General features: G+C 38.7%; 1 protein-coding gene across 10 annotated transcripts in view; it reads left to right on the top strand.

The window, feature by feature from the left end:
* Positions 1-27820, top strand: part of SPAG9 (sperm associated antigen 9) — a 158695-nt gene that overhangs the window by 82961 nt on the left and 47914 nt on the right. For 5 of the 10 annotated variants that reach the window (NM_001130528.3, XM_005257768.3, XM_017025285.3 and 2 more), the window contains 4 exons: positions 6186-6227; positions 16543-16750; positions 17650-17749; positions 23555-23676. In NM_001130528.3, the coding sequence (NP_001124000.1) occupies positions 6186-6227; positions 16543-16750; positions 17650-17749; positions 23555-23676 (472 nt within the window). The remainder of the gene's footprint in view (positions 1-6185; positions 6228-16542; positions 16751-17649; positions 17750-23554; positions 23677-27820) is intronic. The other 5 variants (NM_003971.6, XM_005257771.4, NM_001130527.3 and 2 more) reach the window with 1 other exon arrangement.

The following is a 27820-nucleotide window of genomic DNA, read 5'->3' as shown; positions in this document are numbered from 1 at the left end:
ATCAAAGCTGTTGCGTTAAAGAGCATATTATAAAAGTGCTATAGGCTGGACAGGTGGCTCGTGCTTGTAGTCTGAGTACTTTGGGAGGCCAAGGCAGGAGGATCACTTGAGTCCAGGAGTTCAAAACCAGCCTGGGCAACGTAGTGGGACTCCGTCTCTTTTTCCTTTTTTTAAAAAAATGTTTATACACACACACACACACACACACACACACACACACACTATATATATATATATATATAAAACACATATATTTACTTATTTTATTTATATATATAATTTTTTTTTTTTATTTGAGATGGAGTCTAGCTTTGTCCCCCAGGCTGGAGTGCAATGGTGCAATCTCGGCTCACTGCAACCTCCACCTCCCAGGTTCAAGTGATTCTCCTGCCTCAGCCTTCCAAGTAGCTGGGATTACAGACGTCCACCACCGTGCCTGGCTAATTTTTGTGTTTTTAGTAGAGACGAGGTTTTGCCATGTTGGCCAGGCTCTTGACCTCAAGTGATCCACCTGCCTCAGCCTCCCAAAGTCCTGGGACTACAGGCTTGAGCCACCGCGCCCGGCCTATTTTTTATGTATTTTTAAAATTTATTCCTCTAGTGTCAAGCGACTCTGTCTCTACAAAATATTTAAAAATCAGCTGGGCATGGTGGTGTGCGCCTCTAGTCACTGCTACTCAGGAGGCACAGGCAGGAGGATCAACTTGAGCCTGGGAGGCTGAGGCTATAGTGAGCCATGATCATGCCACTGCACTGCAGCCTGGGTGACAAAGTCCTTGTCTCAAGAAAAATAATGAATAATAATAGTAATAGTCATGGGCTAAGACTGAGAATGGACAAAATGTTAAGGTGAGACAGTTAATCTTACTGAATTATATTCACAAAGAAGCTACAAATGAAGGAATTGGAAAACAAAAGGCCAAGTATAACCAAGACAGTCCTGAAGAACAGTAAGTATAAGAACTTGCTCTACCAGGTATTAAGATTTACTATAAAGCGTAATTATTAAGGTGGTATAGTATTGCTTCATCTTCCCTTTCTCTTTCCTTTCTGCACAATTTAGTTCTAAAGCCACCAGGCAGGGCAGAGGAAGGTAAGGCTTTCCATGGTGCTTAGGAGCAGGGGTGGGGTTGTTATCATAACCTAAGCAAAGTTACAAGGGTAATCCATATGGGGTAGCCTGGTGTAGAGAGTCAGGGCCCCAGCAACATTAAGGACATCCCTGCAGGATGGCAGCCAGGCTTGGGGGTACAAGACCCTAAACAGGATGATGAGAGCCTCCCCAAGGAGAGGTCCCAGGTATAGAGTGTCAGAGCCTGAGCAGATGAGGAAGGCAGCATCTGTGTGTGGTAGGGGGAGAGGGGGCTGGAGTGGAGAAGAAAGAAGATGCATGGGAAAAGAAGGGCATTAGTGGAGGGCTGTAGTGGCAGAGAAGAGAGACCGTAAGAGACTTGAGCGCTGAAAGTCGAGGCACAAAGGGAGTTTTAGAATGGAAGAAGATGTCAGCAGGGTCAGCTGGTGTGGGGAAGTCAAGTAGAATGAGGACTGAATTTGTAAATTTATAGGTGTAGATTTGAGCAGTTTAAGTTGTAGGGCCAGTAACAGGAGTAACTGTAAATCATAAAAAGAGGAAATAACATGTGTAGACTACTCAAAATGGTGATTGTGGTGGGAGGAGAGAAAAAGGATAACTTGAGGTGGAGATTGGCAGAGCAGAGGGAAAAGTATAGAATGGGAGAGACTGGGTTGTTGCTATGCTTACAAGAAGGGTTCAATAGAGAGAAAAATTGAAGACAAGGGAGTGAAGAAAGATAATTGATGTATCAGAATCTTAGAAGAAGGGCAGAGGGGAAGGGATCACATATCCCAGCTGCAATTCAGATCTCCTTCGTTGCTGAGACAGCTTCATTTTTCCTAGTCTTTTGCTGTTACAAATAATACTGTGGTAAATAACCATCCAAGGCCTAGAAAGCATCATGAAAATTATATGGCTGGCATAGAACATGCACACACATGTATGCATGTGTATACATATGTACTCCAAAAAAGTATTTTTTTCTTTGAAGAGCATCCTTGGTTGTTGATTATTAGTAGAATGTGACCTTTAGATCTGAGAAAAGCAATTTTAACTAACTAAACCAATTGGATAGACACCTACTTGTGAAAATTTTAGAGAGTTCTCATAAAATCACATGACTTGTGATACTTTAGTAAACTGCTGTGAGAAGCTCTTGTTAGCAGAGTTTGGTATGTAAAGCCAGTCAATGTGTGCTGCATTCTTCAGGGGATGTGCTTAGCATGCAGAACAGGAAATGTCTAAACAGAGCCAGCATTCTTGTTGAGAGAATTTTCCATCCTCCTCCATTTGTGGTTAAGTTCTGAAATTGTTCCTATTTCTTTAGTTTCTACAAGCTTTAATCTCTATAGTAGTTGAATCATATCTATTGTTATTTGCAATTCCTATTATAAAATGCATATGTAATTTAAAAAGTTAAAGTTCGCAGTTTTAAATAACTTTTTTGAAGTAATTTTAGACTTACAGAAAAGTTGCAAAAATAGTGCAGAGTTCCATATACCCTTCACGCAGCATCCCCTGATGTTAACTAACCATAATACAATCATCAAAGCTATGAAATTAACTTTGGTACAATACTGTTAGGTAAACCTGTATTCGAGTTTTACCAGTTTTTCCACTAATATCCTTTTTCCCTTCCAGAATCCAGCCCAGGATCCCATATTGCTTTTTTAAAAAAAATTTTTATTACAGACAGGGCCTCACTATGTTGCCCAGGTTGGTCTCAAACTCCTGGCCTCAGGTAATCCTCCTGTCTCAGTCTGCCAAAGTGCAGGGATTATAGGCATGAACCAGCACACCTGGCTTCCACATTGCCTTTGTACATTATGTCTCGCCAGTGTTCCCAGTGTGTAACAGTTCCTCAGTCTTGTCTTGTCTTTCATGACCTTGAGACTTTTGAAGAGTACTGGTTAGTTGTTTTGTAGAATGTCTCTCCCTTTGGGCTTCTCTGATTTCTCATTATTAGATTGAGGTTATGTATTTTTGGCGAGAATATAACAGAATCTAGTATCTTGGTGTGGATATACTTTGAGACTGTGCAGATACCCTGTTTCTGCTCAAACTTTCATTCACTGATTTTAGCATCCACAGTGGATTTTGCCTACAACAATTATTAGTAAAATATTGCTAATAGTTATTTTCTATTTTCTTCATTCTACATTTATTAATTGGAATTCTTCTATCAGGGAGAGTTGTCTTCTTCCCTCCTTCCCTCCAGTCCAGTTTGAATTCAAGGGATATATACATATATTATTCTGTGGGCTATGCGAACCTATCATTTCTTTGGTTTCTCAAATTTTTCTAGCTTTGGACATTGAGAGCTCTTTCAGGTTGGCTCCTGTGCTCTTTTGACATACCCCATCCTTTTTTGAATGCTTTCTTCCTTATTGGCACCATAAGATGCTCTAAGCTGTTGTATTTTCCCTGCCCCACTCTTAAAAATTGGACTACTTCTCAAAGGAGCTCTGGCACATTTTTTGGGAGAAGTGTATTTAGGAACCAAGATCTAGGCATTATTCATTCATTTACTTCTGGTTTGGGTTTTTCCATTAGTTTATACCTCCTTTATAGAATTTTGTATTAGTGTGCCTACTAGGGTAAAATAAAAGTAGAGTTTTAAGAAAAAAATGGATTATGTGTTGTAATATTTCATATTGTTTTGTTTATGACAGTGGATAAGGAATTTGTTCTATAAACTCAATTTTTGCTTATAAGCTTTTTTCCTCACATATATCTTCATGTGATAACTTTAGGAACCACCTATAGGTGACTGTTAGGGTTTGGAAGGAAAAAAAGGGTAAAGATTCTATTGTGTTGTATGTTGACCAAGATGCCTATTATGTATGTTGAGAATAGAAACTGATAAAGATGTAAATAAGCAGCACTTTCAAAATGGCGGTGTTTAAAGCTTGTATTTTAAATGTGACTTCATCTGAGGTAATTGGCACATAGGTATTTATTAATACTTACATTTACTGTTTAAACAGACTTTTAGAATAGGAGAAGTTGTTTAACATTTTCTACTGAAAAAATTACCTTTTTCACTCAAAAAAATTTATTGATGCTCACTGTGTTAGGCACAATGCCATGTACTAGAAATGTTGTTAAGGTGCTCAGAGGTCCAAATATTTTCTAAAAGAGGCCTTTATAATTTCTTTTAAAAAGTTATTTTACTACTCAGGAGGCTGAGGTGAGAAGACTGCTTGAAGCCACGAATTCCAGGTTGCAGTTCACTGTAATGGTACCTGTGAATAGCCACGGCACTTCAGCCTGGGCAATATCGCAAGATCCTGTGTCTAAAAAATTATATTAATTCAGTTTCACAATTTTTAGTAATACTGAAGAATGTGGAGTAGGAATGGGAAGTTTCTTCAACCCTAAATTTCATTTTTTCCCCCAGTCATTGTAAATAGTTGATGTATCCTTGGCCTTTTTCTTTACAGGTGCACATAGATATAATATCTTTTTAAGATAAGTGGGTTTATAAGTGTTTTCCTGCTGCTTGCTTTTTTTTTTTTTTTTCATTTAATGACATAGCTTGACAATCTTTCTACTTTTATATAGAGAGAGCTACCCAAGTTTTTACCTAGTTTTTGATGAAGAGAATGATTAAAGATGATGAGAATCTAGAATCAAAGATCTTATAAATAAACATTAAGTGCTCTTACCACCAAAAAAAGTATGACGTGCTAGATATGTTTATTGGCTTGACTGTGGTGATTGTTTCACAATGTGTATTAAAAAAATCACCTTAACTATATGCTGTATTTGTCAGTTATATCTCAATAAAGCTAGGGGAAAAAAAAAAACCACATCTGTTAAAGAAGAGGCAGTCTGATTCCTACAAAGTGAATCATGCCTTGTTAATCTGTGTATTTTGTATTTTTTATTTTTTTTTGAGATGGAGTTTCGCTCTTGTTGCCCAGGATGTAGTGCAATGGCGTGATCTCGGCTCACTGCAACCTCCTCCTCCTGGGTTCAAGCGATTCTCCTGCCTCAGCCTCCAGAGCAGCTGGGATTACAGGAGCCCGCCACAACGCCCAGCTAGTTTTGTATTTTTAGTAGAGACAAGTTTCTCCATGTTGGTCAGGCTGGCCTTGGACTCCCGACCTCAGGTGATCCACCTGCCTTAGCCTCCCAAAGTGCTGGGATTACAGGTGTGTGCCACTGCGGCCGGCCTAATCTGTGTATTTTTAAGGGCATAACTGAGAGCTAGCAGCCTTTCAAAAAGACTTTGATGAATTTCCAGACCAAGAGTATTTGAAACTGTTGCTTTGTATTTAAGAGAAACACATCCGTCTCATAGAGGGAAAATGTATAGATAGAAATAAAGAATATGAATAAATAGATTTTTATGAAAAAGGATTTGGGACTGGGCACATGGCTCATGCCTGTAATCCCAGCACTTTGGGAGGCCAAGGAAGATGGATCACTTGAGCCCAGGAGTTCAAGACCAGCCTGGGCAACAAGGCGATACCAAATCTCTACTAAAAATACAAAAATTTATCCAGGCATGGTGGGGTACACTTGTAGTCCCAGCTACTTGGGAGGCTGAGGTGGGAGAATCACCTGAATCCTGCGAAGTTGAGGCTGCAGCAAGCCGTGATCGTGTCACTGCACTCCAGCCTGGACGACAGGAGTGAGACCGTGTCTCAAAAAAAATAAGAAAAAGGATTTGGATTTTGGTGATCCTTTGATCATTAGTGTTATCTAACTAATTCAGAAATGATAGAAGGAGGTGTGATAAACATTTCTGAGTATGCTGCACTGGATTATTAGCATGTTAAATAGTCAAAGGGACTGGAATAAACATCAGGAAGATTTCATAAAGTGGTGTAAGTAGAAAAAAAAGGTTAAACAATGAGCTGCATGTTGATAAGTATAAGACACTGATCCAAGTGGTGGCTTCTGAACCATGATATTACTTAAACTAGAGTGTTAAGGTCAGCTTAAGTCAAAATAAAACAAAGCTTCCAAACCCTCATTTTAAACACAGTAGATAATAGATGAATCTTGTATCTTGGGAGATAGTACAAGCCAAAGTTACAGCTGTGTTAAAACCTAGTAAACACATAATTTTTTTCTCTTTTATAATCTTCCCTCTTCCTAGGTCAGCAATAGTCCTGAACCTCAGAAGGCTGTAGAACAGGAGGTGAGAATGGTGCTTCTTAACATTTTGCAAAAAGTATACTAAAGTGATTAACTATTGATTACTTCCTCAACTGCTATTCTCAAGACATCAGATGCTCAGCTTGGAAGACTATTGTTGTAATTCACTGAAATATAAAAGAAAATTATTTCCACTGTAGTGGTTGTCAGGGCTTTACTGCAATCTGTAATTTATTCCTTCCCCAAAGTAAGCATTTTTAAATAAAGGAAAGAAAATATAAGTAAATTCTGTGAAATTCAGCCTGTTTGCATTTATCCAGCTCTATGTAATGGTATACTTTCCAGAAATACCTTCTTCAGGGCATAATGTATGTAACTTGTATTTGTCCTGAATGTGGCCTAGTGTGTCATCTTACAGTGGACTGCTTCCTTAGTTTAATAGAGTTCTTCATCTCCAGTCAGGGCACCATCCAGCTTTATTCATCAAACATCTGTTAAGAGCCTACTACAGGCCAGGTGTGGTGGCTCATGCCTGAAATCCCAGCACTCTGCCCAGGCAGGCGGATCACTTGGTCAGGAGTAGGAGTTCAAGACCAGCATGGCCAGTATGGTGAAATCTTGTCTCTACTAAAAATACAAAAATCAGCCAGGCATGGTGGCAGACACCTGTAATCCCAGGTACTTAGGAGTCTGAGGCAGGAGAATTGCTTGAACCCGGGAGGTGGAGGTTGCAGTGAGCTAAGATGGTGCCACTGCCTTCCAGCCTGGGCAACACAGCGAGACTCCATCTCAAAAAAAAAAAAAAAAAAAGCCTGCTACATGTCAGGCTTGATATGCTGGGCACTGGGGATAACAGGATATCTGTGACTTTCTCCTACGTGCTAGGTCAGGGGTTGACCTGGGTCCATGGAAGCCCTCTAGCATCAACAGTGAAACAGTATCCTCTTCCTTTGAAATATACTCAGAGTTAGGACATTCATACCTTTCCTTTAATAATTTGAATTCTCTTGAAGCTACCATTCTGTTTACACTTAGATGGATTTTACCTAAATGTGAGTATCTAGAGTTAAGGTTTTTAGTGTTTCCTTTGGGTCACAGACTCTTAGGAGTCAAATTATTTGAAACTCTCCAGAAGAATGTATGTACACACCATTTTGTAACTCTTTTATGCCACATAGCTGTAAATCAAAAGAGTTTTAAGAACCAATGCTTTAGAGACTTACTTTTACTTGGGGAGAAAGAAATGTAGGTATAAAAGTATATTTGTGTTAATAGTGAGGGATCCTATGTGGGGCTAGTTACTTGTTTGTAGTTTTGTCTTTATTTTCATTTGGCTTAAAACCCTCAAATCTAAGAGACAAACTTAGGTAGCAGAGTTGCTTGCCTTTATATGACTTATTTCAGAAGTTAGGCTACTCAGGAAAACACTACATTGGCATGTAGTGTCTGTAAGTTGAACTGAATGGGATAATTCATTTTCTCTAGTTGTAAACATAGTTTATAGTCTGTTAGAAAATAGTTATGCTGCAATGCCAGATAATCCATGACATATATATTCTGTATAGCACTAAGCACATGGTGCATTTGGTAAATGGAACAACTGAAAATATTTTGAAGAGCTTATAGACTTTTAGCCTGATATTTAAAACCCATAAGAAAATGGCACAAAGACCAGATTGCTTTTACTGCAGTATCTCAAGTGAAACTGAAAGTAATGACGTTTATTTTGTGTGTGTGGTAAAAACACATAAAAATTACCATCTTATGACCTCTGATGTGGTCTCCACAGGGAGGAAAAAAATGACCATTTTAACCATTTTTAAGTATATAGTTCAATAGTGTAAGTATACAGTTCAATAGTGTTATGTATATTCATATTATTGTAAAACAGCACCAGAGCTTTTTCATCTTGCAAATCTAAAACTCTGCACTCATTAAATAATAACTTCCTTTCCAACTACTGTAGCCCCGGAAACTACCATTTTACTTTATGTTTCTATGAATTTGATGTCACATATTAAATACCGCACATAAATAGAATTATGTAGTGTTTGTCTTTTTGAGACTGGCTTATTTCATTTAGCATAATGTCCTCAAGGTTCATTCATGTTATAGCATGTGACAGAATTCCCTTCCTTTTTAAGGCTGAGTAATATTTATTTGATTGTATGTGTACACCATATTTTGTTTATTTATTTGTTAATGGACATTTGGGTTGGTTTCACCTTATGGCTGTTACGAATAATGCTTTTGTGAATACATACCCAGAAGTGAGATTGCTGGATGATATGGTAGTTCTATTTTTAATGTTTTTAGGAACTTTCATACTGTTTTCCAGAGTGGTTGCATCATTTTACAATCCTACCAACAATGCACAAGTGTCTAATGTATTCACATCCTCTTTTTCTTGATAGTGGTCATCCTGATGGGGGCCAGGTGATGATATCTCATTGTGGTTTTGATTTGCATTTCTCCAGTGATTAGTGGTGTTGATCATCATTTTATATGCTTTTTGGCCATTTGTGTTACATCTATTTTTTTTCAAAGCACAATTTAAATATGCACAGACATGCCATTCTTTTATATGCACTTCCAAATCTTGTACTAGCTTTTTGTGAACATTCTCTAGTGACATGTACACCTATGATGTGGCAGTTCCCTAAAGGCTCTAAAGGGGAAAATGGGGCTATAAAATAAATATGTTAGAAAGAGACTTGATGACTGCGTAAGTCTCCATGTTTGCCACCACTCATGCCATTGAAAAAGATATCTTAATGATGTCAGACAATAGGATTTGATAGGCTAGTGGTCATTTGCAGTCAAGAGTATTAGCCAAAACAGCACAACCTGGCAAGTGACCTGTAAAGTCTAATATAAAATAGGAATTTGCAGTGTCAAGAAGCCACAGATTGAATGTGAAATGACAGCATGCAACTCCCCTGGAACTTTATGTTGAATGATTCATAATAAATGCTTTTCAATTAGGACCTCTTAAGAATTTTCCCTTGTTTGCATACATAGTCATGTGTCGCTTAACAACAGAGATACATTCTGAGAAATGTGTACTTAGGTGATTTTGTTGTAGGAACATCATAGAGTGAATTTACCCAAACCTAGACAGTATAGCTTACTACACACCTGAACTATATGGTATGGCCTGTTGCTCTTAGGCTGCAACCTGTGCAGCATGTACTGAATATTGTAGGCAGTTGTAACACAGTGGTAACTATTTTGTGTACCTAAACATAGAAAAGATACAGTAAAAATACAATATGAAAAATTTAAAATGGTATACCTCTATAGGGCACTTACCATGGATGGAGTTTGCAGGACTGCAAATGCTCTTGGTGAGTCAGTGAGTGAGCAGTGAGTGAATATGAAGGCCTAGAGCATTACTGGACATTACTGTAGACTTTATAAAATGCTGTCCACTTAAACTATACTACATTTATTTAATTTTTTTCTTCAATAATAAATTAACCTTAGCTTACTGTAACTTATTTACTTTATAAACTTTAAATTTTTTTACCTTTTTGATTTTTTTGTAATAATGTTTAGCTTAAAACACAAACACATTGTATAGCTCTATGAAAATATTTTCTTTATATCCTTATTCTATAAGCTTTTATCTATTTAAAAAAAATTTTTTTTTTTTTTGCTTTTTAAACTTTTTTGTTAAAAACCAAGACACACACATATTATTAGCCTTGGCCTACACAGGGTCAGGATCATCAATGTCAGTATCTTCCACCTCCACATCTTGTCCCACTGGAAAGTTTTCAGGAGCAATGACACACATGGAGCTATCACCTCCTATGATGACAGTGCCTTCTTCTAGAGTACTTCCTGAAGGACCTACCTGAGGCTGTTTTATAGTTAACTTTATTATTATTTTTAAGTAGAAGGAGGAGTATACTTTAAAATAACAATGAAAATTTTAGTAAATACATAAACCAGTGACATAATTGTTTATCATTATCAAGTATTATGTACTGTATAGAATTGCATGTACTATACTTTTATACACCTGGCAGTGCAATAGTTTTGTTAACACACTAGGGCATTGCACTGGGATATTATGACAGTTGCAACATCACTGGGCAACAAGAATTTTTCAGCTTCATTTTAATCTTATGGGACCACCACTATATATGCTGTATGCTGTCTATTATTGACCAAAATGTCATTATGCAGATGTGGCACATGATCGTATTATCTTATGAGTGTACTGTTGACCAAAAGTAGTATATTTTAATTTTTAACAGGTCAATGATTTTTTTTTTTTTTTTGAGACAAGGTCTTGCTCTGTTGTCCAGGCTGGAGCGCAGTGGTATGATCTTGGCTCACTGCAACCTCTTCCCCCTTCTGGATTCAAGTGATTCTCGTGCCTCAGCCGCCCAGGTAGCTGGGACTACAGGCATATGCCACTACACCCAGCTAATTTTTGTATTTTTAGTAGAGATGAGTTTTCACCATGTTGGCCAGGCTGGTCTCAAACTTCTGACCTCAAGTGATCCACCTGTCTTGGCCTCCCAAAGGGCTGTGATTACACACATGAGCCACTGTGCTTAGCCTCATTCTGTCTTTAGTTGGAGGCAGTTAGTGAGGTATAATGCAAGAATATTGTGCCCCTGGCCAAATACTTTGTCCGATTTCCCATCTAAGTGCTTTTCTGCTAATCTTAGAAGCTTTATGTCACCACTGCCTGGGATACCAAGAAGAAAGACCTCTTTCAAAAATGGTTTCCCGGCCGGGCGCAGTGGCTCACATCTCTAAACCCAGCACTTTGGGAGGCTGAGGCAGGCGGATCACCTGAGGTCAGGAGTTCGAGACCAGCCTGACCAACATGGAGAAACCTCGTCTCTACTAAAAATACAAAATTAGCTGGGCATGGTGGCGCATGCCTGTAATCCCAGCTACTCGGGAGGCTGAGGCAGGAGAATCACTTGAACCTGGGAGGCAGAGGTTGCGGTGAGCCAAGATTGCGCCATTGCACTACAGCCTGGGGCAACAAGAGCGAAACTTCGTCTCAAAAAAAAAAAAAAAAAAGAAAAGAAAAAGAAAAGGGCTCAACCCCTAAAATCAGAGCTTTTCCCTTCTCAGCTCTCATGCTGTATCTCTGGGATCTAGTTGTCAGAAATATAGCCCACACATTGGGCTATTTTAAAGAGTGTAAAATATTTTTATGTGGTAAGTATAAAAGGGAAGTAAGTTACATATAAGTAAATTTCATTTTATTTGGATAGCCTAGGATAAATTTAAAACATAATTTTCTTCTAAGTAGATCTAAATTAACCACTTCCTTGTAGCCTGAAACCTTGGGATTGCTGAGGTATCATGGTCCCTTTCCTGTTTTAGGTTCAGCTCTCTCCTGGTTATTTTTTTTTTTTTTTTTTTTTTTTTCTCTTTTCACCCCATGATATCTAGACTGTCTCCTGGTTATTTTATTTCATGCTCCCAGATCCACAAATGAATTTGGAAAGTAGGCCTTTGCCACACTTCATATGTTGTGAACTTTTAAATTACTAAATACAATTTTTTCTGAGGTGAAAATAACCTGCCTTTTGTGGGGAGTGGGGGACTGGAATAATAAGGAGGAAGAAGAAATAATTTCTCTATATTTAAGAGGTAAATGAGAATTCCAAGATTGACCTCAAATTATTTATTTTTGACATAGTTTCAAAGGCATATCACTTTCTCATATAGATGAACTCAATATTCTCTAGGGCTTTCTGAATCCGCCGTCTTAATGGGTTTTAAGTGCTTTCATCAACACTGTTTATCAGAAATACAGACTGTTTATTTTATATTTTTTAATGTGTGTTACGTTTGAAACTTTTAAAGAATGAGAATTCATGTACATGATAACATGGGTGCAATCTGAGCTCACTGCAGCCTCTGCCTCCTGGGTTCAAGCGATTCTCATGCTTTAGCATTCCTCGTAGCTGGAACTACAGGCGTGCACCACCATGCTGGGCTAATTTTTGGCATTTTTAGTAGAGACAGTGTTTCACCAGGTTTCCCAGGCTGATCTCAAACTCCTGGGCTCAAGTGATATGCCCACCTCAACCTCTCAAAGTGCTGGGATTACAGGCATGAGCCGACCGTGTCCAGCCAAATACCACTTATTTTTTAATCGAGTATACATCAAAGCAAAGACAATGCAAATGGTGCTCAGAGGGACTTGTAGTTGTTTTCACTATCAATCTCTTTGGCTCCAGAGGTGTTAAATACTGTCAGTTTTTTTTTTTTTTAATTAATACTGTCAGTCTTTTTGACTCAACTCCAAACAAATGAATTTGCTGGAATTAGTAGGTTTCTATCAGATACTTTTATATTTTATATTGGGTGCCAGTTACCAATTCAAGAAAATAGCATTTTTTTTTTTTTTTTTTTTTTTTTTTTTTGAGACAGAGTCTCACCCTGTCACCAGACTGGAGTGTGGTGGCACAATTTTGGCTCACTGCAGCCTCCGTCTCCTGGGTTCAATGATTCCTCTGCCTCAGCCTCCTGAGTACCTGGGATTACAGGCATGTGCCACCATGCCTGGCTAATTTTTGTATTTTTAGTAGAGACGGGGTTTCCCCATGTTGGCCAAGCTGGTCTGGAACTCCTGACCTCAACTAATCCACCTATCTCGGCCTTCCAAAGTGCTGGGATTACAGGCGTGAGCCACTGCACCTGGCCAATTTTTTTTTTTTTTTTGAGATGAAGTCTTGCTCTGTTGCCCAAGCTGGAGTGCAGTGGCGCAATCTTGCCTCACTGAAACCTCTGCCTCCTGGGTTCAAGCGATTCTCCTGCCTCAGCCTTTTTTATTTTATTGTGGTAAGAACATTTAATATGAGATCTACCCTCTAAAAATTTTAAGTGTACAATACATTATTATTGTTTTATGTGATGGGATCTTGCTGTGTTGCCCAGGCCATTCAAGCGATTCTTGTGCCTCAGCCTCCGAAGTAGCTGGGATTACAGGCATACATGAAGTATTGTACAATTTTTTTTTTTTTTTTGAGACAGAGTCTTGCTCTTTTTGCCCAGACTGGAGTGCAATGGTGCAATCTCAGCTTACTGCAACCTTTGCCTCCTGGGTTCAAGTGATTCTCCTGCCTCAGCCTCGCTAATAGCTGGGATTACAGACGTGTGCCGCCACGCCCGGCTGATTTAGAGACGGAGTTTCTCCATGTTGGCCAGGCTTGTCTCGAACTCTTGACCTCAGGTGATCTGCCTGCCTCGTCCTCCCAAAGTGCTGGGATTACAGGCATGAGCCACCACGCTTGGCCAAAGTATTGTACTCTTAACATGGATATGCTATTTTATTTTTATATGTTGTGTAAAATATATTGTACAATATATTATAATTAATATGTACAATATACTGTAATTAATAGTGATACAGTATTGCAACTGCCATTAAAATGATGTTGACATCAGTGTGTAATTTTATCACTAATGCTTTTCCTTTTTTGGAGAGAGTCTCGCTCTATCCCCCAGGCTGGAGTGCGGTGGTGCGATCTCAGCTCACTGCAACCTCTGCCTCCCGGGTAGCTGGAATTACAGGCACCTGCCACCATGCCTAATTTTTGTGTTTTTAGTAGATTACGGGTTTCGCCATGTTGGCCAGGCTGGTCTCAAACTCCTGACCTCAGGTGATCCGCCTGCCTGGGCCTCCCAAAATGTCGGGATTTCAGGCGTGAGCCACCGAGCCTGGCTGCTAATGCCTTTCGTATTGTATTTTCAAATTTTCTATTTAGAAAAATCGGCTGGGCGCAATGGCTCACGCCTGTAATCCCAGCACTTTGGGAGGCTGAGGCCAGCAGATCGCTTGAGGCCAGGCATCTGAGACCAGCCTGGGCAGCGTGGCAAAACTCCGTCTGTACCAAAAATACAAAAAATTAGTGGGGCATGGTGACGCACGCCGGTAATCATAGGTGCTCAGGGGACTGAGGCACGAGAATCGCTTGAGCCTGGAAGGTGGAGGTTGCATTGAGCTGAGATTATGCCACTGCACTCCAGCCTGGGTGACAAGAACGAGACTCTGTCTTAGAAAAAAAAGAAGAATTTCATGTACGCCTGGAAAAATACGATTTACTTAAATATTTCCCAATTATTTGCAGAGGAGCTAGAGAGATTATTTATTGATAATCGGTGACTCTTTATTGCCTTTTAAAAAAATTGTGACTTTCTCTGGGCAAATTTATTTCTTAACCAATTTTTAAAGTACTTTAGAATAAATTACTCAATTAAAATTTCTTTTAAATTACTTCTATTTGTAGGTTGAACTTTCTGATGTTAGCCAAGGTGGATCTAAAGCTACCACTTCAGCATCAATAGCTAAATCGATGTGGCAATAATTCCTGCTGATACTCCCTTAAGGGAATTATATATAGTATATATAATTTATAATTAAAATATTATAAATTAATAAATTATAAAAATATATAATTATGTATTATAATTATACTAATAGTTACTATTATAATAGTTATAAATTATAAAAATATATAATTATGTATTTAGAATTATACAAATAGTTACTATTATAATAATAGTTAATATTTTAAATTCTTAGTATGTGTGAAACACATTGCTAAGCCATAATGTAGAATAACTTAATAAGAATCTTAAGAAGTAGATACTGTTATCTATATTTTACAGATGATAAAACAAAGGTTTAGAAAGAATACATTACTTACCCAAGGTCATACATTTAGTGAATGATAAATTCACTTAATTTACCCTAACCCTGATTTATTATTATTATTATTATTATTATTATTATTTTGAGATGGAGTTTCACTCTTGTTGCCCAGACTGGATGCGATCTCAGCTCACTGCAACCTCTGCCTCCCGGGTTCAAGTGTTTCTCCTGCCTCAGCCTCCCGAGTAGCTGGAATTGCAGGCATGCGCCACCATGCCCGGCTAATTTTTTGTATTTTTAGTAGAGACAGGGTTTCTCCATGTTTGTCAGGCTGGTCTTGAACTCCCGACCTCAGGTGATCCGCCTGCCTCGGCCTCCAAAAGTGTTGGGATTACAGGCGTGAGCCACTGCACCCGGCCTATTGTTATTATTATTATTATTATTATTATTATTAGTGGTGGTGGCTGTAAACTTTTTGTCAGTTTCTCTTTTCTTAAAACCTGGGTGCTCCAAAAGAACTGCTTCATTTTTGATAGCCACTGGACAATTGTTTATAATTATTTTGGAGCTGCAAACCCCTTTGAATATCTGATAAAAGCTATGATTCTTTTCCCAGAGAAATACATTGTACACAAATTTTTGCATACAATTTCAATTTGCATATACCTCTTGAAACCTATCTGTAGATCCTATAATAGTGATCAAATTTCAATGAGTATGTAACTCACCTGGATTGCTTGTTAAAATATAGATGACCTATTCTCACTGCCCAAAGTTTGGTGCATTAAGTCTGGAGTTGGACTTAGACTCTGTCTACTCCTCCCTACTCCCTACTCTTTTCTCTTTTTTCAAAGAGACAGGGTCTTGTTGGGCTCAAGGGATCCTCCCGCCTCAGCTGGGATTACAGGCATGTGCGTGGCTGGAATCTGCCCCCTCTCCCCGCTTTTTTTTTTTTTTTTTTTTGAGATGGAGTCTAGCTCCGTTGCTGAGGTGGGAGTGCAGTGGCGTGATCTCAGCTCACTGCAACCTCCGCCTCCCAGGTTCAAGCAATTCTCCTGCCTCAGCCTCCCAAGTAGCTGGGATCATAGGTGCCTGCCACCATGCCTGGCTACTTTTTGTATTTTTAGTAGAGACGGGGTTTCACCATGTTGGCCAGGCTGGTCTCGAACTCCTGACCTCGTGATCCGCCTGCCTCGGCCTCCCAAAGTGTTGGGATTACAGGTGTGAGCCACGGCGTTTTAACAAGCACTTCAAGCACTTCAAATGATTTAGATGCAGGATATTTTAATACCACACTTTACAAAGATACCCGAGGTTAAGAATTTGGTTATTCTACTTCTGTTTTAGATCAGCTATTACAGAGTATGTGTTCTAAATGTTCTAAAGTAGGTCTTTATTACCAAGTGACTGTACAATATTGCAATTGCCATTAAGAATGATATTGACATTAATGTATAGTTTTATTGCTAATAATTCTTTTATTTTCAAATTTTCTGTTTAGAAAAATATCATTTGAAAAAATACAGTTTACTTAAATATTTCCCGATTATTTGCAGAGGGTCTAAAGAGAGTACTTACCGGTAATCAGTGGCTCTTTATTGCCTTTATTTTGGAAAAAAAAATAGAACTTTCTTTGGTAGATTTATTTCTCAACCCATTTAATGTGGTTTAGAGTAAATTCGTCATTTAAAATTTTATTTTAAATTATTTTTATTTGTAGGATGAGCTTTCTGATGTTAGCCAAGGCGGATCTAAAGCTACCACTCCAGCATCAACAGCTAATTCAGATGTGGCAACAATTCCTACTGATACTCCCTTAAAGGAAGAAAACGAAGGATTTGTGAAGGTTACAGATGCGCCAAATAAATCAGAGATAAGCAAACACATTGAAGTACAGGTAGCCCAGGAAACTAGAAATGTATCTACTGGTGAGTGACCCTAGTTCTTTACTTACTAGGAAAGTATTCAGTAAACCTGGATAATGTGGGTATGAGAAAATATGTCTTTGTGGGTGTTGCCTGCTTTGTATTTATAAAATAGGCAGATATAGTTGGCCCTCTATATCTGTGGTTCTGCATCTGTAGATTGAAAATATTTGAAAAAAAAATGATAGCTGTGCCTGCACTAAACATGTACATACTTTTTTCTTATTATCCCCTAAACAGTACAGTATGACAATTATTTACATAGCATTTACATTGTATTAGGTATTATAAGTAATCTAGAGATGATTTAAAGTATATGGGAGGATATTGATAAGTTGTATGCAAATACAATGCCATTTTATATAAGGGACCTGAGCATCCATGGATTTTGGTATTGTGGTGGGTTCTGGAACCAATCCCCCATGGATACTGAGATAAGACTGCACTTAATTGTATTCAATTGTAAATAAGCTTAAAAGAGGTAATGTTTAAATAGTCTTGGAGAGAAACTATTGGGGCCAGGAGTTGGGGGCCAGGAGGTCACAGAACCCAAAAGACGGGAGGACAGTTCTTTTCTGTCCCCTATCTTAGTTTAGTCTTTGTCTTTAGTTCCTTTAAATTCCATCTTTTAAATAAGAATGAAAGCAGGGCCTTGGATACATTGTACTGTGTGTTCCACGAAACACAAGGGAAAACTTTCTTTGGTTGCTTATTAGTTTTTGATACAATCTGTTAACTGAATATGTGATATATTGTATAATGCTGTATTTCCTAAAATCCAGTCTTGCACATTTTAAAAAAATGTTCAAATGATACCTTTACACCCATAAAAACAACAGGATTTTTATATTGGGGTACTGTGTAATATATGTATTGTTTATTTCATCATGTCCTTTTTTAAGGCTCTGCTGAAAATGAAGAAAAGTCAGAAGTTCAAGCAATCATCGAATCTACTCCTGAGCTGGATATGGACAAAGATCTCAGTGGATATAAAGGTTCAAGGTAACATAAATGTTAGATGAAGACATATTCTGCGCCCCCCACCCCCAACTCCCATAAACACTGTTCTCCAGTCTCTGGACAAAATGGATTCAGATGTTTTGTTGAAGAAATGTTAGTATTATATTCTAATTCCTATTCTTGAAACTGGACACTGTACATGGTTTAAATTTTTTGTTAAATGTTATCTTTGCAGGATCACAAATTAGGTGTATGAGCAGGAAGGATGGTGTCTTAGTCTATTTTGTACTGCTATAGCAAAATACCAGAGTGGGTAATTTATATATTTATTTATTTGTTTATTTTTTTGAGACAGAGTTTCGCTCTTGTTGCCCAGGCTGGAGTGCAATGGTGCGATCTCGGCTCACCGCAACCTCCGCCTCCCAGGTTCAAGCAATTCTCCTCCCTCAGCCTCCCTAGTTGCTGGGATTACAGACATGTGCCACCACGCCTGGCTTATTTTGTATTTTTAGTAGAGACGGGGTTTCTCCATGTTGGTCAGGCTGGTCTCGAACTCCCAACCTCAGGTGATCCACCCGCCTCGGCCTCCCAAAGTCCTGGGATTACAGTCGTGAGCCACTGCGCCCAGCCTTGTTTATTTTTTTGAGATGGAGTCTCGCTCTGTAGCCCAGGCTGGAGTGCAGTGGTGCAATCTCAGCTCACTGCAACCTCTGCCTCCCAGGGTCAGGTGATTCTCCTGCCTCAGCTTCCCGAGTAGCTGGGATTACAGGCACCCACCACCATGCCTAGCTAATTTTTTTTTGTATTTTTAGTAGAGACGGGGTTTTGCCATGTTGGCCAGGCTGGTGTCAAACTCCTGAGGTGATCAGCCTGCCTCGGCCTCCCAAAGTGCTGAGATTACAGGCATGAGCCACTGCACCTGGCCAATTTATAAAGAACAGAAATTAATTTTCTCACAGTTCTGGAGGCTAGGAAGGCCAAGATCAAGGTGCTGGCAGGGTCAGGTGTCTGGTGAGGGCTGCTCTTTGCTTTCAAGTTGGTGCCTTGTTGCTGCATCCTCTGGAGGGGAGGAACTCTGTGTCTTCACATAGAAGAAGGACAAGTGAGCCCTGAACACTGGATAAAGCCTCATTATTCTATAAGGACCCCAATCCTGTTTATAAGGGAGAAGCCCTTATGGCCTAATCACCTCTTGAAGGCCCCATCTTAATACTATCACATTGGCAACAGCTGAATTTTATAGGGGACACATTCAAACTATAGCAGATAGGGGAAAAAAGACAGCCAAGACATATCCCATACTTTCTGTAACTTGAAAAAACCAAGAAGCGGGAGTGAAGGAAGTAACAGAGTGGACATGGCAGGGCTGGCAGCGGTGCTACTTTGAGGGCATGAAACACACCGTTGGCTATGGAGCATGCTTATTTTAGGGCCAGCAGCCGGGTACTCCAGCCTGCCGGACACTTCAGTCCAGCCCCCTCCTGACTGGGGCTTGTTACTCACAAGATTGCATTGTCCCGGACACTAACTTGGGTCCAGGGCCCCTCCCCCTAGCACTTACCTGGAGTTTGTGCATGTTTCCTGCTGCTGGGTGGGTTCAGAAGGTGATTTCTTTTTTATGTGTACATATGCTAAATAAATGTGATTTAAAAAACAAAACAAAAAAGTTTGAACAAACTTTTGTACCTTCCACCAGATCAGGAAGAGAGAATGTACTTCCATCTTGAGAAGTGTAATCTCATTATTGGAAGAAATTAGTCTCATTTTGGTATCATTTTACATGGGAAGGCTGTTTAGTGGTAGGAAGAAAATAGTTAGATCTCATCTTTTTTTTTTTGAGATGCAGTCTTGCTCTGTCGCCTAGGCTGGATGCAGTGGTGCTATCTCAGCTCACTGCAACCTTCACCCCACTCCCACCCCCACCCCCTCCCCCGGGTTCAAGCGATTCTCTCACCTCAGCCTCCCAAGTAGCTGGGACTGCAGGCACACACTGGGCTACTTTTTGTATTTTTAGTAGAGATGGGGTTTTACCATGTTGGCCAGACTGGTCTTGAACTTTGAACTCCTGAGCACCAGTGATCCGCCTGCCTCAGCCTCCCAAAGTGCTGGGAGATTAGATATCATCTTAATCAGGATTATCCAAAATACATTGATGCTCAAGAATGTCAGACAGGAGCTACTGCCTTTCTTTTCATTTCTTCCATAAAGTTGATCCTTTAATTAATTAATGACTATAAAAATACAAGCCATTTATTGATCTCTGTTAAGCATTGTGCAGTCAGTACTCTGTAGCGGTTAAAAGCATAGACCCTAGAGTAAGACTGCATGGGTTCAAATCCTGTCTTGGATTTGAATCTTAGGTATGTTTTCTCATTTATAAAACAGCTTTGTGTTAATACCTCAGATGGTTGTGAGGATTAAATGAATCAATATATGATAAATCATTGCAAAATGCCCCATTCAATAAATGTTAAGTAATATTGTTTTCATCATGATTTTATATAATTTGATCCTAATTACAACCTTATGAGGTAGATCTTTTTATCCTTATTTTATAAATAAAGAGACTTAGAACTTGTTCAAAGTAGCTTGTCCCAGATTACCAAGCTAGCAAGAGGTGGACTTGGGATTCAAATCCAGAACCCTCTGTCTCTCTCTCTCTCTCTCTCTCTCTCTCTCTCAGACAGGTTCTCATTCTGTCGCCACTCTTCTTCCTGGATCCTACATCACCCTGCTTCTTGATTTATGCCTTTGTTTTGACAGAGCATATCCTTACTAGCTTTCTGGGTAAAGGGTGCACAACTCTATCACTTCTTAGCTCTCTCTTATGCTGTTTGTCTTCAGGTATCTAAAATAACATGTTCGTCCTGCCCCTCCTTCATCCCTCCCTTTTTCAGCTGAGATTCTGTGAGAAAATGTAGTCCTAATGCCCTAAGGCATCTCTTGTATATAATGAATTAGCTATGCTCCTGTGCGTCTAGAATAGGATTCTAGGTATGTACTTACCTTGGGAGAATGGAAAAAATACTCACTTAAATCCTTTTCTGTATTTTGTAGATCAAATACGGAACCCTGGTTGAAAAAGGCTGTGATGCTAGCTGTTGGCTTTCTGTAGTAGATGAGGATATAATGCCTAAACCACCATCCTTTCATCCTCCTAATATTATATATTTCAAATTCTGTTAGTTAAATTCATTATTTATATCAGTATGACTATATAAAATTAATCTGTAATTCTACTTAGCCACAGAATACAGTATAATTACATTTCATTTATTTTTTTATTTTTTTCCCTCCTCCGAGACGGAGTCTCGCTTTGTCGCCCAGGCTGGAGTGCAGTGGTGTGATCTCGGCTCACTGCAACCTCTGCCTCTCAGGTTCAAGCAATTCTCCTGCCTCAGCATCCTAATTGGGATTACAGGCGTGAGCCACCATGCCTGGCTAATTTTTGTATTTTTAGTAGAGACGGGGTTTCACCATGTTGGTCAGGCTGGTCTCAAACTCCCGACCTCATGATCCACCCGCCTTGGCCTCCCAGTGCTGGGATTACAGGCGTGAGCCACTGCTACGGCCCATTTCATTTCTTTTACAACTTTTTGTTCTTCTGAAATTAATAAAGCCTTGGGTTATTTTGTTTCTTTTCCTTATGTTTCTGTGGACCTGTTACTAAATCACTGGCAGACACTATGCAATTCATAAATGTAAAAGTCCCCAATATGACCAAACACAAAACCTGCCTGTTTCCTAGGGCTTACTCTCCTGCAGCCTCCTATTCCCATTCTCCAATTGAGACTGCTGTCATATTTGTTCTGGTTCTGGAATATGCCCTCACTATCATCCCTGGAATTCTTTTCACCTTTCTCCTCTGTTGTATCTTTTGTTTCCTGGATGCCACATCATCCTGCTTCTTGATTTATGCCTTTGTTTTGACGGAACATATCCTTACTAGGTTTCCTGGCAAAGGGTGCATGACAAGTAAATTTTTTTTTTTTGAGCACTATGAACTTGAATGTTACAAATTTCCTAAGAAGACATACTTGATAGTTTGGCTAGATAAAGAACTATATGGGTTGGGAGATTTTTTTTCCATCAGAATTGCAAAGACATTACTTCATTTTCATGCTGAGTTCAGGGTGTTGTTATTTGAGTTCTTGCTCATTTTTATATACTTTCTGAAATCTTTTAAGATTGTCACTTTCTTGATTTTTTAAAAATTAATGATACTGTGCTTGGTGTAGGTGTCTTTTTTGTATCTTCTTATATGAAGTAAGTCTTTTCATCTGAACATTCCTATCTTCCAGTCCTGGGAAATTTTATCTCTTTCTTCTTATTGTTGTTTCTTCTGCTCTCGTTCTGGAACACCTCTTAGGTATGCATTGAACATCCTGGAGTGACTGTCATAATTTATTTTCTCCCCTCTTTCCTATCTCTTTTATTTTATACTAATTGCTGGCAGATTTTTTTTTAAACCCTCATTCTTTTTTTTTTTCCAAATTCTTTTTATTGGTTGGTACTTTTTATACCATCTTGCTATTTTACGAATGCAACATTTATTCTGAAGAAAATTAAGTGCTTTGTTTTTTTGTTGTTGCTGCTGCCTGCATTGTCTTTTTTTGCTCTTAGTGTCTCTGTCACATCCTCTTTGTTTTGGGCCCTTTCTTTTATAATAGAGGCCTTCTTTAGACATCTGGTACTCTGTGGCTGTTTTATTCATACTTAAGTAAATAATGCTGATTCTCCACTTTCCTGCCTATAACATTTAAACTTGGCTTCCATTATTAGGGAGCTGTGCCAAGAGAAGGGAGGTCTCACTGTTCTGGAGGATTGTGTCTAGGTCCTGTACCGCCTTTTGTACAGTTTTTTTAATCCTGTCCTTCTGTTTCATGTTCCTCCCTGCATGCCCTCCCTGTGGTTGCTGGTACCTTCAAGTCCTAGGCCTTTCAGGGGTTCTGGCAGCATATTGACCTCCTCCCTAAACCCCAGTGGCTTAGGTTTCAGCTTTCTCTGGTCTATTGAATCACTTTCTACTGTTTGCCCATCTGTTTTCCATCTTACAGAATTTTGTTCACATTTCATCTGCTATAGTTTCTTTTTCTATTCTCTTTGTCCTTTTGGGTGTATACCTTTTTAATTTCTTAACTTTCATTTTAGTTGAGCTTCTGAGTTATTAGGTGATAAATGACTATGTTCTCTCCACCATATTTAGCTGGAAATGGTCTACAGAGTTTTTTCTATTAATAATAGTATTCAGGCACAAACATATACACTTCCCCATTCCCCTATACACCCCTGCAAAATAGGGCATATAGTATATACACTGTTTTGCAACTTGATTAAAAAAAAAAACCTTTGTATCATGGGTTTCTTTAGTTTATAAAGCTCTATTTATGTTTTTAACCTTAAAGGTAAAAATTTTAATTTTGTATGTGTATAACTTACCTCATCTGTCCCCTGTTAACAGTCATTTAGGTCATTTCAGTTTTTGCCACTGTGAGAAATGCTACTCTAACCAGCTTTTACATACATAATTGCCTTCTTGTGACATAGGTAATCTATGGGAAGCACTGAGACCAGCACCTGGTATAGAGCAGAGGAGCTGCCATTATTGCTTGTGTTTGCTGGGATCACACAACAAAAACATTCTATAATTTCTTCACCAGCTATTTCCATGGAGCTTAGTGAGAATTTCTTAGGAAGCCTTTGAGAAATCTTTTTAAGTTATATTTTCTAGTAAACGTAAATTATAGGTAAGAAAGTCCTATGTAGCTTAGCCTATTGTATTCATTTTACAGCGTCAAAAAAGTCTTTGTCATTTGTTGATTTGGTTTTGTTGTTCTTGTTGCATAGCACTCCCACCAAAGGCATAGAGAACAAAGCTTTTGATCGCAATACAGAATCTCTCTTTGAAGAACTGTCTTCAGCTGGCTCAGGCCTAATAGGAGATGTGGATGAAGGAGCAGATTTACTAGGTATGATAGCTCATCTGAAGAAATATCATACTGTTTTTAAAATTGATTTTTTAAATGATTTAATTGAAAAGTCCTTTAAAATGTCCCCAACTGCTCAGTGATACAGGGTTATTGCCCTTTTAGGTAATTATTGGGAACATATTCTTTGTGATCATGAAAGTTTTAAATGAAAGCACCTTTGCATATGGGTATGCTTAAAACTGAATTGCATTTAAATTCATGTTTTGAATTCATACAACACAATTTATTGAACTCCTGCTATATTTCAAAACAGATAACTACACATAAGAACATGGTGATGTGTGTGTGTGTATGTGTGTGTGTGTGTGTATGTGTATGTGTGTGTGTATGGATTGATGCCTAGTTATCCCCTGGCTTACATAAATTTCATTATATTCTGTTGACTTTAATTAAATAAGAAATTATAACACTTGATTTTTCTAAGTTTTCTCAGAGTATATTATGTTTTAGCCCTATGGTAAATATAATCATTTTAAAGTTTGTGTTCTAGAAGAATACATGGTCTGAAAAGAATATTGCATTTGGCTCTTAGACTATTTGCCTGCTGACCTTTGCCAAGTGTCTTAACCTTTTTGGACCTTAATTTCTTTGTGTGTAAAATGAAGGAGCTGGACCCTAGTTCAGGAATCTGGCAAACTGCCGCTTATGGGCCAAATCCAGCTGACCCCTTGTGTGCGTGTGTAAATAAAGTTTTATTGGAACACAGACACCACCATTTACTTATTGTCTGTGGTTGCCTTTGCCTACCAACAGCAGAGTTGAGTAGGCAACTGAAATCTGAAGCCTAAAATATTTACTGTCTGGCCCTTTATAGAAAGAGTTTGCCAACCCCTGCCCTAGATGATCTCTGAAGTTCCTTTCAGTGCAAGGTTCTGGCTCCTATGAATTAGTTTTGGTATACCTTCCTTATAACTTAGGACCCTATAGAAATTAAAAACTATATGGAATTAAAAATATATACCTTTGGAGATACTAAGCTAAAAAAATTTGTATCTATTGGTATAATTATAGTACAGATTACACTGTTCTCAAAAGGTTTCGTTTGTTAATTGTTATGACTTTGGAGTGGAGTGACATTGCTTGCATTATTTTATGTTAAATTTATTGATTGCCAGTTATGTCCTTGACATTGTAAAGTGTTTTTGAAGGAAAACACAAGTTCTATCTAAATGTCTATCTAGGCCGGTTGCAGTGGCTCACGCCTGTAATCCCAACACTTTGGGAGGCCAAGGCAAGTGGATCGCTTGAGCTCAGGAGTTCGAGACCAGCCTGGGCAACATGGCGAAAAATATCAAAATTAGCCAGGCATGGTGGAGTATGCCAGTAGTTCAGCTGCTTGGGAGGCTGAGGTGTGAGGATGGCTTGAACCCGGGAGGCAGAGGTTGCAGTGAGCCTGGGTTGCACCACTGCACTCCAGCCTGGGTGACAGAGCCAGATCCCGTCTCATAAAAATAAATAAATAAATAAATAAATAAATAAATAAATAAAGTATCTAGTAAGAGAGATTGAAAGTATTTTAAGTACATATAGTTAGACAGAAAGGGATTGTCACCATTAAAGTTTAAGTAAAACTTTGGAAGAAATTGAATGAATTGCGTTTCTCATGGAGGGCTAAGAAAGTTGTAATTCTTTTTTTTTTTTGAGACATAGTCTCACTCTTTTGCCCAGGCTGGAGTGCCGTGGTGCGATCTTGGCTCACCACAACCTCTGCCTCCCTGGTTCAAGTGATTCTCCTGCCTCAGCCTCCCGAGTAGCTGGGACTAAAGGCGCATACCACCATGCCTGACTAATTTTTGTATTTTTAGTAGAGATGGGGTTTTACTATACTGGCCAGGCTGGTCTCAAACTCCTGACCTCATGATTCGCCTGTCTTGGCCTCCCAGAGTGCTGGGATTACAGGCATGAGCCACCATGTCTGGCCTGAAAGTTTAATTCTTAAGGAATACTCCATTTTTATATTTAATTTTATGTTTTAATTTTAGTTTACATCAAATTATACCTGAAAAGTTTCTTTTAAGGCATAATTAGTTTGAGAAACTAACTCCCTGGCAAATTTGAGGAGCAGATGAAAAAATGTTAGAAGAATTTTAAAATGTATATTCAGTGCAGTAAAATTCACCAGAATCAATATACATCACCCCACAAAATTCCTTTATGCTGTTTGTATTAACAAGAATGAAGTAATTCTGAATATAATTTGTACACTGTGTTACCTCATAATGCAGTAATGAGTGATAAAATGTTTAAGGTTGGTGGCCCCAAACTTTCTTTTCTTATGAAGTATTTAGAAGCCCCATAGTACTTAGAAATATCTGTTGTCTTTTAAATCAATTAAAAGTAATATCCTGATGCTTTGGTTTCTTTTCCACTTTGAAGATAAGAAACAGACTACAAACTATCTTTTCCATTTTGTAGATGTTGATACATTTATCTCTAGAATAGTTCAGATTAGAATATTTTAATATATTACTGTAAGTTTAGTTACTTATGAATATTTTTGGTCAAAGATGGTAAATAAAAATGTTCCTGGCCGGGCACGGTGGCTCATGCCTGTAATCCCAGCTCTTTGGGAGACCGAGGTGGGCAGATCACCTGAGGTCAGGAGTTCGAGACCAGCCTGGCCAACATGGTGAAACCCCATCTCTACTAAAACTACAAAAATTAGCTGGGCATTGTGGCGTGCACCTGTAATCCCAGCTACTTGGGAGGCTGAGGCAGGAGAATTGCTTGAACCTGGGAGGTGGAGGTTGCGGAGAGCCAAGATTGCACCACTGCACTCTAGCCTGAGTGACAAAGCAAAACTCCGTCTCAAAAAAAAAAAAAAAGTCCTTGGCTTCTCTTCTGTGTAATTCAGTGATAACAAATTTGAATCATTATATATGGACTCAGTACTTCAATTACTGTTTTTTTTTTTTGAGGTGAGATCTCACTACGTTGTGTAGGCTGTCCTGGAACTCCTAGGCTCAAGGAATCCTCTTGCCTATAGCCTCCCAAGTAGCTGGGACTACAGGCATGCACCATCACGCCAGCGCAACCTTTTTCTGATTTTACTAATTTAAAAGAATCTCAACAATTTGTCCTTTATCTTGATTGGTGTCTCATCCCTCAACTTTCTTATTTAAAACTCTCTTTGCTGGGTTTCTGTGATATCAACTTGCCTGTGTCCTTTCCTGTCTCGACTCTTACCTTTTCAGTCATCTTAACAGGATCCGCTTCCTTTGCTCGTCTTTCAGGTATCAGCGCTCCTGTCCTAGGCCTGATACTTTGTTTAAGAAATCATGTTTGCTCTCATTGTTTCTTGGTTTTCATGGCTAATTACTCCCAAGTTTTTACCTCCATCTCAGATCTTTTTCTAGAGCCCAAGACTATTATTTCCTAATTGCATGCTAGACACCCCTAAAATGACTTGGAGGGCTTTACGTTTGACATGTATAAAGCTCAGTTTGTTATCTTTATTGTTCTGTCCCCCAAGGCTGCTCTTGGACCAACAGGCACTGTTTTAGTGAATGAATAGCTCTCCATCCTGCACCTCTCACTTTCCCTCACAGCTAATCACCAAGGCTTGTTTGTTCCCTCTCCTAAATGTGTGTGTGTATACATACATATATGTATATATATATATATATATTTTTTTTTTTTTTTCTTTTCTTGCCTTGCTTAAGTGATACATCCTCCAGGAATTCTGCCTTGATCCCCTAATTAAAGCTTAGTTTTCCCTGAAATGTATTCCCATGGCACTGCATTTTATTATACCACTCTTCATACTTTACTGTTATTTTTTAGTTATCTGTCTCCCTGGACAGACTATAAGCTCAATGTGGCTGAGACAACTGTGTCTTTGTTCACTGTTGCATATTTAGCACATAGCAACTGAGTGAATGGGATTGCTAAATAGTTCTGACAGTTTTGTTTCACCTCAAAATCGGTGATTCTTCTCCTTTTGGGATTAAAAATTCTTCACAGGTGAATTTGTAAGAGAGCAATGTACCTTTGGAAAAACACACATGTAGAACTAGATAAAATTGTGCATCTTCTCAAGGGATTACCATATAACTCTGAAGCTCATCTATGGACCTAGCTTGAGAATCAGTGTTAAAATCCAAATGAAACTTCTGTGATTTTA

Source organism: Homo sapiens, chromosome 17 (genome assembly GCF_000001405.40).
Source record: "Homo sapiens chromosome 17, GRCh38.p14 Primary Assembly".
Lineage (NCBI taxonomy): Eukaryota > Metazoa > Chordata > Mammalia > Primates > Hominidae > Homo > Homo sapiens.
Note: the sequence above shows the minus strand (reverse complement) of the source record. Positions and strands in the feature narration are given on the sequence as shown.